This window comes from Homo sapiens, chromosome 7 (genome assembly GCF_000001405.40).
Source record: "Homo sapiens chromosome 7, GRCh38.p14 Primary Assembly".
In the NCBI taxonomy this organism is placed as follows: domain Eukaryota; kingdom Metazoa; phylum Chordata; class Mammalia; order Primates; family Hominidae; genus Homo; species Homo sapiens.
The window spans coordinates 17,547,047-17,564,944 of NC_000007.14; the positions used below are offsets into that span (position 1 = coordinate 17,547,047).

A 17,898-nucleotide genomic window follows, 5' to 3' on the forward strand; every position below is an offset into this window, starting at 1 on the left:
AATATCAAATAGTTAATATCAAAATGTTTCAGCATCCATTCTGGTATGAATAAAAATGAAATGCTACAAATATTTTACTTAAAAGCTTATGCCGACTTTGGTTTCTCCTGGGATGTACAAATGAGGAAAGAATGTCACTCCTACCCTATCAATCAGAAAAAGCTAGCTATACTACAAATCTTAATTTTTCTTGAGCCTAGAGAAGTGAAGTTTTAGGCTAATTAGATACCTAAGAAAAGACAGGTGTCTTCAAGAAGAAAGAGAACATGAGCATGGACTTACTAATGAGAGCAGAAGGAAGACAGGGCTGGCTGTCATACAAGTAAGTAAGACAAGTTCCATTAAAATTTAATACATTCTTAAAGTCTAAGAGTAGGCCACTATGAGAATACAGAACTTCTGGAAATTTCAGACAGAAGGGAAATCTGTACCATCTCAATCTTCTCCATGATTATTTAATAACAAAACAGAGCCCCTCTGCCTACTAGAGTAGCAGAAGCTAAATGATAGGCAATAGCAGCCTATCACTGTGGCAGTGACAAGAATAGAGACAAACCATCTCCAAAATACGGGTGCACAGAGAAGGTCTAATGATGAGGTGGTACAGTAATATTAATAAAAACCGATTGCAGACCCCACCCTGAACACAAGGTAATGATGGAGGAATTTGAAGTCAGAGATACAGTGAATAAAGCCATAGTAACAACACAACCCAAATCTGGCTCAACTTTTTTGTAGAATGACCTAATACCCCAAAATGACAGCCTAGCAGAGATGGGTGCGCCCATTCCAGGCATAAATACTAGTTTCTTGCTGTGCTGTTCTACACATATCTGGCATTCAGTGAAAAATTATGAGGCACACACAAACAAGGACAAAACAACACACTTATAAGAGAAAAAACAATGAACAAAGCCAGAGATGGCCTGTATAATGAGCCATAACATAGCAAATTTAAAATTAATATGACATGTTAAAAAGTCTAGCCAAAAAAGTAGCCAACGTGCATGAACAGATGTTGATTTTCATAAGAGTTAAAAATGAAAAGAGTCAAATGGAAAGTCTAGAAACAAGTACAAAGAAACAGAAATGAAGACTGCCCTGAATTATCACTTAGGCAGACACAGTGCTGAAGGAAAAAAAAAAATCAGTAAACTTGAAAATAGGTCAACAGAAATTACCCAAACTGAAACACAGAGAGAAGGATAGTGGCTGAAACAGGAGAGAGTGTACAAGGGTGCTATGATCTGAATGGATTCCCTCCCAAATTAGCTGTTTCCAATGTGATAGTATTAAGAGGTGGGGCCTTTGAGGTGATTAGGCCACAAAAGCCTCTCCCTCATGAATGAGATCACCCGCCCTTATAAAAGGGTTTAATGGAGGGAGTTTGTTCCTCTGTTGTCCTTCCACCTCCCACCACACGAGGACACAGCATTCCCTCCCTCAGGAGGATATAGCCCTCAGACGCCACATGCCAGTCTCTTTACCTTGGACTTCCACCCTCTGGAACTGTGAGAAATTTCTGTTCTTTATAAATTAGCCAGTCTGTGGTATTCTGTTATGGCAGCACAAATGGACTAAGACAATGGGCTATGTACCAAGTGGTCCAGCATACACCAGCTGAAATCCCAGGAGATGAGAGAGAGAATAGGACAAAATAAATATTTGAAGAAATAGTGGTCAAGAATTTTCCAACAATATTAATAAAACATCAAATCATAAGTCCCAGAAGCTCAGAGGTTTAAGGCAAGTAAAGCACACACACACACACACACACACACACACACACACACACACACACACACACACACACATCATATATAAGGTGTGGAAAAGTAAAAAGAAAAAGAAAATCTTAAAAACAGCCATAGAAAAAAGGCACATTACTTAAAGGTAAGTTTACAGAAAGGTAAAATTGACAATAGATTTCTCATTAGAAAGTACTAGAGTAAGAAGACATGATAGAAGAGGGAGGAAAAATCTAAGGCTGAGTGCGGTGGCTGATGCCTGTAGTCCCAAGCACTTTGGGAGACTGAGGCGGGTAGATCACTTGAGTCCAGGGGATCAAGACTAGCCTGGGCAACATGGCAAAACCTTCTCTCTACAAAAATTTTTTAAAAAAGAAAATTAGCCAGGCCTGGTAGTATGCGCCTGTAGTTCTAGCTACTTGGGGAGCTGAGGTGGGAGGATCACTTGAGCCCAGGAGGAAAAAATCCTTGCAACTGAGAATTCTATACTCAATGAAAATAGCCTTCAAAACAGAAAGCATATTAAAGACTTTCATACAAAAAAGAAAATTCATTACCAACAGCCATGTACTATAAACTGTTAAAGAAAGTTCTTCAGGCAGGAAGAAAATGACACAAGCCAGAAACTTGGATTTACACAAAGAATTAAAGATCTTTGAAACTGGTTAAAATAAAGACGAACAAAAGGCTTTTTCCCATTTTAATTACTCTAAAAGAAAATTGACTTTTGAAAGCAACTGTAATACACATTTATTGTGTATGTAGAGGACATATAAAAGTAAAATCTATAGCAACATGAGCTCAAAGTCTGGGAGGTGGAGTTGGAAATATACTGTTGTAAAGTTCTTACACTATTCACGAAGAGGTAGACTACATGAATGTAGACTGAAATTAATTAGAGATATATATATGGCAAATGCTAGCCAATGAGATGAAAAACATTTTAGAAAGCCAATAGTGGAAATAATATAATGAAACAAATAATAAGTCAATAGTGGAAATAAAATGGAAATGAAAAATACTTAATTCAATATATAATAAAAGAAAAAGAGAAGATAGAGTAGAAAACAGCAAGATTGTATGTTTTAATCCAACCATAATGGTAATTATATTACAATTATATTGAAATGGTCAATACAAACTAATTATAAAATAAAGATAGATTTAAAAAGAAAAAGAACAAGATGCAAATGCATTCAATTGACAATAAGCTCATTTTAATTCTAATGACAAAAAGGTAAAAATAAGTATATGGGGAAAGATATACTATGCAAAAACACTAATCCAAAAAAAAGTTGCAGTGACTACATTAATGTCACATAACGTGGATTTCAGAACAAGGAATATTTTTAGGGAAAAAGTGATATTATATAATGTCAAACGGGTCAATACACAAAGAAGACTTAACAATGCAAAGGCAGGGGTGCCTAATGACAAAGATATGACAAGCAAAATGAAAGAGGAGACCTAGAAGTAGAAATGGACAAATCCAACATTACGGTTGGAAACTTAAATACTTTTCTCTTCCTTTTTCTGTAATAAAACAAATAGAAAGAGAACCAATAAGTCTGTAGAACCTTAGCAAAACTAGCAACCAACTTCTGTGAGCTCACTGGTATTTACAAAAACCACCAAACAGCACCCATTCTTTTGCACAAGGAACATTCAACAAGACAGGTCTCATTCTGGACCATGAAGCAAATCTCAACCTTTGTATCAATCTCAAATCTTTGTATGTAAAATCATACAAACTGTATTCTATTATACTAAAAAAAGTTAATCTAGAAATGGATAACAAAAACATATTAGAAATTCTCACTTATTTGGAAATTAAGCAGCAGAATTATATGTAACTCATGAATTAAAGAGTCAAAAAGGAAATTAGAAAATATTTTTCTTTGAAATAAAGTAAGAATACAGTGTAAAAAGATTTGTGGAAAACAGCAAAATCAGTGAGTCAAGGAAAAAGTATAGCCTTAAATATACTGAAGAGAAGAAAGGACCCTCAAAATATGTACAACTATGATACATTAATTTTCCAAAAAGATAAAAATGGGAAAAAAGGAAAAGAAAGGGCTTAAATCAATTATCTAAACTTACATCATAACAAAAACAAAAAAAGGAGCAAATTAAACCCAAAACAAGCAGAAGGAAGGAAATAAGAAAGATGAGAACAGAAAAACCAGTAAAATTTTTTAAAGAGAAAAATGGAGAAAAAAATCAATTTAGCCAAAAGCTGGGAAAAACTGATAAACCTCTAAGCAGAATTACAGAAAAAAAGAGAGGGAGAGCAGATACAATTACAAACACCAATATTTCAACAACTCAGAAGGGATGAACATATTTCTTGAAAAATACTAATTACCAAAGCTTACTCAAGGAGAAATACATAATGTAAACAACTGTCTATCTCAAAGAAATCGAAATAAACTTTCCAACAAGGAAAATTCCAGGACAAGTTGTATTCATAGCAAACTCTACCAATAACTTAAGGAAGAAATATGAATTACCTATAAAATCTTGAAAAACAAGAAGAGGGGCAAACACTTTCCGACTCATTTTGTGAGACCAGCATTACCATGATACCAAACCTAGATGAAAGAATTGTAGTGAATAGAAAACTACAGACCAAAATTCTTTATCAACATAGAGGCAAAAATTCTCAATAAAATCTTAGAAAATTGAATCAAGCACTGTATACAAAAGATAATACATCACAACCAAGTGGGTTGAAACCAGGAATACAAAGCTGTTCAATATTGGGGGGGGAAATCAACATAATTTACTGTATGAACAGTCTTAAAAGGAAAACCACATGAATTATCTTGATAAATGCAGAGAAATCATATAACTCAACAACCATAATACTAAAAACTCTCTGCCAACTAGAAATAAAAGGGAACTTCTTCCCTTTTATTGAAGTTAAATAATTTAAAAAGTAATTTTATTTTTTTTAATTTGCATGCCTGTTTATTAAATAAAATTAAAGACAAGGGAATTAGAATAGCCCCCAAAAAAATTGAAAAAGAAAAAAGTGAAGCCCATACTGCCTGATTTCAAGATTTTCTATAAAGCAGTAATCAAGAAAGTATGGTATTAACATAGAATAGAATCATAAATCAATGGAACAAAACAGTATTTTACCAAAACAAATATGGTCAGTTAGTTTTTTTGCCAAAGGTGCAAAGGAAATATGAGCATGCAGGAATAGTTTTTTCAACAGATGGCACTGGAAAAATTGGATATCAACATGCAAAAATTAAAAAAAAAATCCTTCCACTCTTATCTTGTATTATAAACAAAAATTAACATTAAATGGATCATAGACTTAAATGTAAATCTTTATAAAATACCTAGGAGAAAACATTTGTGATCTTAGATTAGGCAGTGATTTGCTAGATACAAAACCAAAAGCATGTTCCATTTTTTAAAAATTTAGAAATTAGATTTATCAAAATATAAAACTTCTACTCTTCCAAATATATTGTTAAGAAAATAAATACAACCAATTGACCTAAATAAGGTATTACTGAAAGACATGTCAGAGAATGACATCAACAGGATGGCAGAACAGCCATCAGCCCAATTCTCATCCCAGAAGCACTGATTTCTCAACCATCTGCGGATAAAAGTTTTAGGAGCTTCAGGATCTAGGTGGGGGGTTGTGACAGCCTGGTGGAGCCCAAGGCCATGGAAAGCTGCTTTGACAAGGCAGGCCTGTGCCCTGGGGTAGCAGGCCAACCGCTTGATGCAGCTCCACAATCAGAAGCAGTAACCCATCACCCACCATCAGCTCCTTTTCACGCAGTCCCAGAGGGTGACCCACCCACCCAGTACAGAGGGGTCACACCCACCCATACCCTCCAGTAGTTACAGGCCCACTGATTGTGGACCCGACTGCATACACGAACACAGCCCCATGACCAATGGAACAGAACAGAAAGCCCAAAAATAAATCCACGCTAAAGTTTCTGCTATGCAAAATAAGATCTGGAGAATGTTTTTAAAGGCATGTCAGATAAAGAATCTGTATCTAGAATATGTAAAGAACTCTCGAAAAGGTAAGAAGATAATTTTTAAAGTAGGCCAAAAAACTGAACAGACATTTCACCAAAGAAGATATACAAATGGAAAATAAGCACACGAAAGAATGTTCAGTATTTAGTCATTAGGAAAATGTCAACTAAAACCATAATCTGATACCACTACCCCACTCATTGATTAAAAATTGAAAAAAAAAAGGAAAAAAGGAAAAAACAGACAACATGGCAAGGATGTGGAACAACTGAAGTTCTCAGGCATTGCGGGTGGTCATGTGAAATGACACAGCCACTTTGAAAAGTTGTTTGGCAGTTTCCTAGGAATTAAGTATATACTTAACCACACAAATCTAAAAATCTTGCTTCATGACTCTTACCCAAGAAAAATGAAAACTTCTGTCCCCACAAAAACTGAATGTTTACAGTGGTCTTTACTCACAATCACTAAAAACTAGTAAAAGCCCAAATGTCCTTCAGCTGGTGAATTCATAAATACACTGTGTTTATCCATACAATGGAATACAGATAAAATTCAGCCAGAAAAACAAATTTGTAATACAGATGAGAAAAATGAATTTCAACTGTATTGTGGTGACAGAATCCAGACCCAAAAGGCCTCATACTGTACGATTCCATTTAATTGTCATTCTAGAAAAGGCAAAATTATAGGAATAAAAGGCAGATCAGTGGTGGCCAGGCACTGAAGGTAGGTAAGAGTGATCTGGGGGGGCTTTTGAAACTGTTCTAGATCTTGATTTGGTGCGGTACACATTTGTCAAAACACATGAAAAAATACACTAAAAAGGGTGAATTTTATATATAAATTATACCGTAATAGAACTGACCAAAAAACACATAGGAATAAACTAGATGCCTCTGAGATTTTTTTCAAGTCTAATGGATCAATAGGAATAAACATGGTCTGAGAGATAGAACCTACACTAACAGAACAAATCTCGTATAGGCTCTATCCAAAGCAATAAGTACTGATCCAGTCTAATAATGATGATGATGATGAGGCTAAATATCATAGCCCCCACATTCCCTGGCTACAAAAAAAAAATATGCTCATAAGATCTTTTTATCTCCTAAGACCCAAGATCAATCATCAGCACCCACATGGTCATTTCCATATGGCTTTGTCTGTCTCCTGACTTGACCTACTTTCCCAGCCAACTCTGATCTTTCTTACTCCTCTTTGTTCTCTGGTACTCCCAATCTGTCATCAGCAAAATCCACAGGTATCCTAAACATTTTATGTAAATGCTCTCTTGACCATCTTGCTGTATCTGAAAGCTGAGTTCCTTTGAGGACACTGCTTCTCTTATAGCCTTAGTCGTCTCATGGGGTTGCTATTTTCTCTCTCAAATCTCTGTGCCACAAGGCCAGCAGTTTCAATAGTTGTCTTTCTTGTGCTTATTGCTCCTTCCAAATCATTGTTCTTCTCATATCAATAGAAACTTCTAGCAATTTGAAAGTAACCTCTGACATCATAGTACCCAATACCCCTCCCTGTTGTGGTCACCTACTGACATCCATCTCATGGGGCATTTCTTGAAGAGTTTAGCTTGTGGCTCCCTCTGTCCCTTCAACACCAGTGTTTTCACAGTTCTTCATATCCCTGTAGAAAATCCTTCCCCTATCTCAGCCTTTACGTCTCATGATCATCACCTCACCTCCAGTAACCTTGATCCTTCTGCGACTCACTCTCCAGTCATACCTCCAACAACTCTTCCACCTTCTCACTGTCAGCTGATAGCCTCATTTCTCATTTCATGAAAAATAGAAGCAGTAAGAGAATGTCCTCATTCTCCATCCAGTGGTCTACCCACCTAACTGCACGTTTACTGTGTACCCCACCTTCCCCACTATTCCTTCAGATGAATATGTTTCCATCTAAGCTCAACCCTTCCACTTGTGAACTAGTACTCAATCCGGCTCACACAATAGAGGAAGTCACTCTTGCAGTTGGCTGCTATCACTGTCGGAATAAACCAACCGTCGAAGAACCATCTGGACACAATCAACTTTCAATTTCCTCTATGAGGATTACACACTTTATGCACTCTTCCTCTTCATTCAGTCTACCTCCTATCCCATCATCTCCACTCCCTCCTGGCCTGCCAACATGAAACAATTTTAGTGTTTCTTGATCAGGGGTAAATTGTACCTGTAGATGTCTATCTGGTGGCAAGCTGCACCTAAACTCCCACCCCAAAAGGCTACATAAAGCGGCAGAGCACAGATTCTTTGGTGAGATCACAATTCAGCCCCATCTATAAAGCAAGCACTTACTGATTATCTGACCTTAGACTCTGCACCTCACCCGCCTCTGTGCATCTCAGGTACCTTCGTGCTTGCTTGGCTTTAGCCAACTGCTCTGACTTGACACATTGCTACTGTTTATTCGCAGCTGGACCTCTGGCCAGCTAAGTAGACTATGTTCACTTTTTCAGAATAAATCAAGATGCATTATAGCACATGAAAAGATAAAAATTGCCAAAGGAAGCATTTAGCAAAAGAAAAACAGGCATTTATTGATCTCCTTCCAAGAGTCTGCCCATCTAACCCTGTTTCTCGGTTTTATGAACACTCACGCAGCCTTGGCAAAAAGAAAAGGTGATGCTCAAGAGTACCTTGCTGCATACTTCCCAACTTTAATTCAGGTGCCACGGGCCTTAGATAGAAATCTCCCAGCTCAGAGCAGAACAATGATTCTACTCAAACCACTTGTCCTCTCACCAAGAGTACAGGCCTACTCTACCTCATGCACAAAGGATGGGCTCTGTTTTGCTACAGGTGGTTCTGGTAAATAGGATCAAAATGACTGCTTTATTATCAATCAAACCACATAAAGTTGGGTCAGGGCAGAAAGGACTGGACACCAGTTCTGGATATAACTGACTCATTTAGCAGTATGCCTCTAAAATCCTTTCCCAGGCAACCCAACCCACCCACCTTGGTTCATAAACTGCCTGTGCCATATCTGGCCTCTGGTTTCCCCTCACAAATACTATTTTCCAAACTTACATCTGTTTATTTCTTCTTTACCGCTGCCATGTCCCTTAAATATTTTTCTCATGTCTAAAAACTCCAGAAAAAAATCATTAGCTAAAATTAACTAAGCATATCAATGGTTTTGAATATAGGCAATGTTTGTATTCCTGTGTTATAAATCGGGAATCTCAGGTTCAGGTAATTTAAGTAGCCAAAGGTCATACAAGTGAAGGTCAGTGCTCAAATATGAATTTGGGGCTCTTATTTGAACCCCTCTTACTTTCCATTAGGCCATGCTGCTGCTAGTAGCGGTAAAGGAAGGACACAAGGCATAACAGTCTATGAGGCCAAAGGCAGTAAGAAACAGTGTGGAATTGTGTGTGGCACATAGTAGGTACTCGTGCTGAAAACAACATTGAGTTACTCAATGAATATACAATTGATTCCCAGATTCCATGGGCTTCAAACTCATTTCTACAATCCATGATTTCCTATTTCTTCTCCATGCTAAGCAGAGCCTGCTGCCATATGGTAACTTTGCCAGTAACAGTCTAGCTGCTTCTAACCAGGGCCTGCTTTCCCTTGGCTTTAGCACTCAAAGGTCAACTTGACCTTGCAGGGAAAGTGAGCAGGGAGCAAGCACCTCTGAGGACACGGCAGACAGCTGCAGTGTGGCTTTGACATTTACAAGAAATGAAAGCATCTCTATTTAGAAAACTTTTTTAAAGATACAGAAAAAGTAAGTCTAAAAATAGCCAAGATCTAAAGTTCCCCAAATAATTAATATCATGTCCCCATAACCTAAAGGATTCTCTTGATTTCAGTGGAAAAAAACTCTGCTTTTAAGTTTGAGAGACCTTTTTTCTTGCAGAAAACTGGGCAACATATTGTCTGATTGGGTAACTTCTTTGAAGCCTGCCTTTATTAGGAGTTAGCTGCTAGTCTGCTCTTCCTTGGATCTCAAATATTTTGGTTAAAAAAAGCAGTATTTTTAGTATTGCTGATTTATAGTTATCAAAAGGCTATGATTGCAGATCATGCACAGTGCATCCATCTGGGCAATTATCTTTTGGTTCTAATGGTTAGAACTGTGGCAGTTTCTGAGGTGTTAGAGTTCAGGTTCAATTCAAAGCATCAATGATGCTCTTCATACTAGACCAGGATCTGCCTCTGTAAGACAGACTCAATTCCCTTCTCTTCTTTTTTTGCAACAACCACAGCCATTACCCCAGCCTCAAATTCATATCCATTGGTTCAGAAGCCCTAAGGAAGGGCATTGATTTCAGAGAGGAAGCCCAACATGTGCAGGATTTTTTGCCCTGGATCCAGTGATATCTTTGAGAATCAGAAACACTTATTCTAATGTATTTTAATTTACTTTTCAAATGGAGCATTTAAACAAAAACTGTTTATTGGGTTCAAATTCAGAGCCAAGTTGTGTGTCGAGAGAGTCTTAATTTTTCATAACAGGACATGTTTGGCTCTAATGTGTGGGTTATGAGTCAATATATCAAATTTGACTAAAGTATTTGCTCTAAGTAGGGAGCAAGCCATTTAGCATTACAAATCCTGAACTTTTTGCAGGAAGGAGGGAAATAACTTTGATTTCTAAGCTCTCTTATTAAGATGAATCAAAGTTGATGAATAAACTTTCTGGATTGCTTAATACCTTCCAGATATCAGTATCAAGGCCTTGGCAAGGCAGGTGAAAATATTTCCATGAGCAAGAAGCAATTGAGAAGGACTTCCTCTGTGGGATAAATTCTTGGTAATTCCTGTGGGAAATTTTCCTTTATCCTAACATCTTTTTTTTTTTTTTTGCCTTGCCCAATTCTCAGTGTTTTTAAATACACAAAATACGGCTTTCTACTAAAAACTGGTAAATGAAGTTGGAAAAATACAAACACACACACACACACACACACACACACACACACACACACACGGTAGCCCTTTTATTGCAGCCATGTACGTAGCTTCGCTGAAGAGTTGACAAGATATATTGTGCAGCCACAGAGAGACACCACATCTTCCTTCCTCCCAGCACAACTTGTACAGTGATTAAATGTGATTAAAGTCTCAGGAACTTGGACACAGTCATATCTATTTTGGTACCACTGTCTTGATCCATCCCTACAGCCAGAAGGGAATCACCCTCTTTGTGTAAATGTTTGCTTTGTTGGAAATTCTCAAGCAGAAATTAATAGTATACATGCTTCAGGAGGAGTAGTAAATCAAGCATGATAAACAACTCCTAGGCAGTGTTTAGACTGGCCAAAAGTCATCTTAAGAATCGTGCACAATGATAGAATACCACGTTTGGCATCTATACACCAGAACTATCTATAAACAAAAAGCAAAATGGAGATCTGTCAATTAACCAACTAGTCTGATTAATGGGATCTGTCAGCATAGGTGGATAATAAATGACTAGAAAAGTAGCAAGTCTCCACTCATTCTATGTGGTGTAGACACAGTTAAATGAATCATGAATGTTTAGTGCTCTTTATAGCAGTTAGCGAACACACTTGGAACTTGTCTCGAAATTAGTTTTGATCTCTTGTTTGAAGTCAGATGCCAATATTCTAGACCCCTATGACATCATCTATTACAGACTCCTGGTTATCGAAGAGTTGAAACTAGTCAGATAGAATTGGCATGAAAAGAATTTTCAACAGAAAACAATCATGTTCAAGGAAGCCAAGTCTAGGATTTCAGGAGCTCAAAGTTTCAAATATTTTTATAAAAACATACATACATACACACACATACATACATTCATGTGGAGAGAGAAAATGAAAAGCAAGAAGACCTTTTCTTCCTTAGTCCAAATCCAATTTAATAATTATCCAGGGTATTCTCAGTAAAAACCAGGTATTTATGCCTCTATATGTATGTCACCAAAATGGAGCCAGCTTACCTGAAGGTCCTCTGAGGCTGTCACTTTCCTCTAGTGCTGTCCCATAAACCTGAAGGATATACAATAACAAAGGGGACAATTCCGTGGGACGAAAATCTTATTTTAAATAACTTCTCTATACTGACTTCAAGCCAAATGAAAAAACTACAGCTTTTTTGGAATTTTATTCCATTTCTGTTGTCTGATTCATAAGTGTTGTTAAATATTTACCAGGAACCTGCCAACAGTTTCTCAACATTAGTTAATCATAGGTAATGCTATTCCATTAACAACTCAATAAACTTCTTTAAAGTTGTACAAGGTAAATTTCAGTACCTTAACACTGCTAACCCATCCTTGTAGAATAAATATTTGCTTTGAGTTTCTCTATGCCAAGATTTATGGGATCAAGTAATCTAAATCTCCTTTTGTAAATAAGGTGTGCCCTCAAGAGGATGAGAGTGCAGACTCTACAGTCTTGTCTGCCTTCTCTCCACAGGTCCTTGAATAAAGCGTTCCATGTCTCCAGATAAACAGACTTGGGGCACTTCTGACCAGTATCCCAGCAGCAGAGGCTTTGGGAAATATTTTCAAGACGGTTCAAGCCTCCCTTCCACAGATTCTCTCACATCTGCCAGCCTGAAGTGGGCTGTGTTGGTTCATGTCTACCAGGACACTAAATGGCTGAAGGCCATTTTTTCTATTCTAATTATTGTTGCTTCTTTGTAACAATTTTTATAAAAGTCCAGCCTAATTTCTTTCCCAGCACACATGTATCTTCAGACACACATCTAAATCCAGGCTTTCATGATTAATCCTACTCTGAGTCAGCTGGGATAGAGCTCTGATGATGGGATATCCTACATGGTCATTAACTGCTGTTTGCACAAACACATCACTCAACGTGACTTCCACTGGATCTACCTTGTATGCAGAGTAGAAAGCTGCTTGTATGGAGTGACTTCTCTGTTGCCTGACCAACCACATGCAAAAATAACCTTTCCACTCACTGATACTGAATTCTACCAAAGAAGACAAGCCATCCAATCAACAACTCTCATAGTAAAGCACATGGCAAACATTATAACTGTATTACTGTATTATAAAACTGTATTATTAAAGTCTACTCTTACAGAATACTCGAGGAAATTAAAAAATGACAAATTCTCATTTATGTACACACCACTTATATCAGGTTCTTCTGGAGAATATATTCTGTTTGACGGAAGAGGAAGGAAGAGAGGATAAATTATGTTTATTGGAGAACTACCTAACCCAGACTTTGTACTAGGTGCTTTTTGAAAATTATCTCTTTAATTTCTGCAACCACAATAAGCCACAGATAACCCTGTCTTTGCTTCAGAGATGATTGTGCCCAGTCTCATAGGAGTTAAGCAATTTTTCCCAAGTCCTATAGCTGGTAAATAATCAGTTTAAGATTCAAGTAAATCATTTTATCAAAGCAACATTGAGGCAAGAAAGAAGAGTATGATATACAATTTTTAAAAGCCCAGACACCCACACATTTCCTGTAAGGAAAAAAATGTATTGATGTGTATGATAAAAATTAGGCCCTCAGCTCCTTGAAAAAGAATTGTTTGAGCCCCTGTAAATCTTTACCCAGTTAGTGTTCAAATAAATATTCCTGTAAAGATATCTTCAGGGTGAGAAAAGCCATAAACAAACTCCATTGTCATTTCCAGCATTTAAATCAGGACTAATCACAAGGAGCCAGTGTTAGCCCAATCCCCCTCACCTAGTTCCCCTCACTCTTTGCCAATACGCAGTTTTTAATCTGTTTCAGGAAGGAGTCCGAGGCGGTTTGGAAATACAAATTAACCTGAAACTACTTCCTAAGGCATTACCAGAAATCACGTTTTAGATGTCAAGATGACTTGCATTGTTCTAAACTTCCAGGCTGTGCCAATGGCCACAAAGGTAAATGGGGCATTGGGACAACCATGTGAAGGACTAAGTTGCAACATGAAGCAAGCACACTCTTCCGCATGAGTCACCTGAAAATGAAAAGAGAAGAATAGCTGGAAAAGATGATACTGTCTGACAACAGCATTTCAAATAAGACACAAAAAACTTGTCTGCATTTGCTTTCAGGTCATGAAATACCACATGAACTGAATGTTTGAGAACCCATTAGCTATGGATCACCCTGATTCAACAACCCAATTAATCATATTCTCAGGTCTATGGCATAATCAGTGTTTCTCAACCTACACTGCGTAATAAAATTACCTGAGGAAATTTTTGGCTTTTTGAGTGTTTTTATTTAAAAAGAAAAAAAAAATCAATGCCTGGACCCCAATACCAAAAATTTGGATTCATTGCTATAGGGTAGAGGCCAGGCACTAGTATTTTTAAAAAAGCTTTCCAGGTGATTCTAATGTGAGTCATGGTTGAGCACCACTGTTAGTTGTATGAAGTGGATTTAGAAATCTTATCCCTTAGACCCTTAGGGTTGCCAGAGCTGTCATGGCTATGAAACCTGCAAGAATTTGGGCAAGTTACTGGTCCCTGAGACTGTTTCCAAATCTCCAAAGTGAAAGCCAGAACACCTTTTAGGCACATGCTTTATCATGGAGGCCTGACGATCATGGTTTCAAAATAAATATCTGTGAACCTAGATACTTTATTTTCCTTCAATCATTTTTGATTCATATGTCTTTAGAATGTACACTGAAATGTAAATTGTATGTGAATATATCTTCCACATGTAACAGCATTACTTCTTTTGACTATGTAACTTAAATTATGTTTTCAGGATGCCAAAACAATTGGCTCAAAAGTAGGAAAATATTGTTACCTAATATTTGCTGCGTCTCTATATCCCTAAGTTAGAAAAACAGCACGTTTTGATTTTATGTTTGTTGATTTTATTCTATTTAAAAAAGACCAGCTACCCCATATTTAGAGGCTCCTACTTCATATCAAGACTCAAGTTGCAAGTCTTGGAAACAAAATAAAACCCCAAACTTAGTGCTTTAGACTTTTTATACATCCTACCCTATGTTACTGAGAAATTTGTTGTTGTGAGAAGGAAGACTTTAACTTGCATATGTACATATACATGCAAGTATGCTAGCATGATTCCTGAAACAAAGTGTTTACTAGATATTTATTAAGATTGTTTTTAAATATGAACTTCAACATCTTGATTGAATGATGAAACATGGACATATGAATCAAACTTTGGTATCTGCTCACTATCAAATGCTATAGAATCAAGAAAGTGAGAGCAACAATATTTCCTGTGCAACACACTACACACCTTAAATTTGGAAATATCTTTTGCTTTCATGAAAGTTTTATGATAATTCCTATTTACAAATTTTGAGGGGTGGTTTATAATTCTACTGTATTCTGTATCTGTAATCAAATCTTTGACAAATCAGTTGAATTTTCCCCCACAAACATAAAAGACACAGAATCAATAAATAAAAATACTAAGATACTTCACACAGCATCTTTTGACATTTGTAAAGAATTTTAGAGTACAAAGTAATTCTCTTTTAGTGAATGCATGGATTATACTATTATATAGAAGAGCACTACTTAGATCATAGTAGAGAAGGATATATCTACGACCCTATGAGACTGATGCTGCTAGTTGTTGCCAATATTTACCCTCACACTTCATTCCTTGGGGTAGCAATGTGCCCTGGCACAGGTGATAGAGTATGACTAGACTGACCAAGTCATAATTTTGTTCCTTATTTCCCAGTCTCCCTTGCAGCCAGGTATAGTTATGTGGTCCAGTCCTGGCTATGAGAAGTACAGGGAAGTCTCCTGGTAGGCTTCTGTCATTGTGCTTTCCTGACAAAAGGAGATAGGCACAAGAGGCATAGCCCATTCCCTCCAGCTTCCTGCTTAATGAGGCATCCTGTAATTAACTGAAGTTTCAGAAGCTATCTTGTGACCATAGGCAGCAATCCTAAGGATAAAAGACAACAAAACAAGGACAATTGGACTAAAAGATAAAAAGATCCTGGATCTTTGATGGAAGCATCAGGGAGCTAAATCAATGCCAGCAAACACCTACTCTGGACTTCCTATTATATGAGAAAAGTAAACTACTTAGGAGAAAATCATAATCCCCATGTCTGAAAGAGATTTTAAAGCATGTATTTTCTCACAAATCACCACTAAAGAACTTACTCATGTAACTAAATACAACCTGTACCCCAATAACTTATGGAAATATAGAATAAATAAATTTCATATGGGATCAAAGAAGACCCTGTAGAGCCAAGACAATCCTAAGCAAAAAGAATAAAGCTGGAGGCATCACGCTACCTGACTTCAAACTATACTACAAGGCTACAGTAACCAAAGCAGCATGGTACTGGTACCAAAACAGACCCATAGACCAACGGAACAGAACAGACCCCAGAAATAACACCACACATCTACAACTATCTCATCTTTGACAAACCTGACAAAAGCAATGCGGAAAGGCTCTTCTACTCAATAAATGGTACTGGGAAAACAGGCTAGCCATATGCAGAAAACAGAAACTGGACCCTTTCCTTACACCTTATGCAAAAATTAACTCAAGATGGATTAAAGACAAGTGTAAAACCCCAAACCATAAAAACCCTAGAAGAAAACCTAGGCAATACCATTCAGGACATAGGCATGGGGAAAGACTTCATCTCTAAAATACTAAAAGCAATTGTAAAGAAAGCTGAAATTGACAAATGGGATCTAATTAAACCAAAGAGCTTCTTCTGCACAGCGAAACAAACTATCATCAGAGTGAACAGGAAACCTACAGAATGGGAGAAAATGTTTGCAATCTACTCATCAGACAAAAATCCAGAATTTACAAGGAACTTAAACAAATTTACAAGAAAAAAGCAAACAACCTCATCAAAAAGTGGGCAAAGGATATGAAGACACTTCTCAAAAGACGACATTTACGTGGCCAACAAACATGAAAAAAAAGCTCAACACCACCAATCATTAGAGAAATGCAAATCAGAAACCACAATGCGATACCATCTCATGCCAGTCAGAATGGTGATTATTAAAAAGTCAAGAAACAATAGATGCTGGCAAGGCCATGGAGAAATAGGAACACTTTTACACTGTTGGTGAGAATGTAAATTAGTTCAACCATTGTGGAAGACATTATGGCAATTCCTCAAGCATCTAGAACCAGAAATATCATTTGACCCAGCAATCCCATTACTGGGTATATACCCAAAGGAATATAAATCATTCTACTATACAGACATATGCACATGTATGTTTATTGCATCATTATTTACACAGCAAAGACATGGAACCAACCCAAATGCCCATCAATAATAGACTGGATAAAGAAAATGTGATACATATACACCATGAAATATTATGCAGCCATAAAAAGGGATGAGATAATGTCCTTTGCAGGGACATGGATGAAGGTAGAAGCCATCATCCTCAGCAAACTAACACAGGAATGGAAAACCAAGCACTGCATCTTCTCACTCATAGTGGGATTTGAACAATAAGAACACATGGACACAGAGAGGGGAACAACACACCACCAGGGTCTGTTGGAGGGTGGGGGATGAGGGGAGGGAATTTAGAGGATGGATCAAAAGGTGCAGCAAAACACCATGGCATATGCATACCTATGTAACACACCTGCACATTCTGTACATGTATCCCAGAATTTAAAGTAAAAGAAAAAAAGAAAAAGAGTTGGAGAGAATTTAGGGTGTGTCCTGGCCAAGGTTACACAAAGAATGCAAGTAAAAGAAAGAATAACTACTGGACAAAAAATAAAAATAAAAAATAAAATAAAATGATAACTTTTTTTTTCTGTCAATGAGAAATAATCTTTTATAACAAGTCAATCATTAGGAAAGACATTTCAAGCTCACTTTCACTGTTGCCCTTATTTTTCTTCCTAATTCCTGACACTAAAAACAACTATTTCTACTACCTCCAACTACCTTAGTTATGGCCATATAAACAGACTCTTTCCCTCTCCCTCTCAAATATATGTGAATATATGTGTATATATGCATATTTACATAGCCAAATAATATATACTCAACTTTCTGAATAATTCCATCCACTTGAAACCTAGTTTTAAATGTGTAGGAAAGCAATTAATATGAGCAATAGAGTACAGATTGCACAAGAGATGCTTCTAATATACTTTATTTCCACGACTAGACAAATGCCTTTGCATATGTTTTAAGAATAA

General features: G+C 37.0%; 1 long non-coding RNA gene across 1 annotated transcript in view; it reads right to left on the minus strand.

Moving 5' to 3' along the window:
- The window catches only part of LINC02889 (long intergenic non-protein coding RNA 2889), a 95,465-nt gene extending 83,602 nt beyond the window's left edge, over positions 1 to 11,863 (minus strand). The window contains exon 1 of the long non-coding RNA NR_110013.1: positions 11,706 to 11,863. This is a non-coding gene — a long non-coding RNA (long intergenic non-protein coding RNA 2889). The remainder of the gene's footprint in view (positions 1 to 11,705) is intronic.
- Positions 11,864 to 17,898: the final 6,035 nt, after the last annotated feature.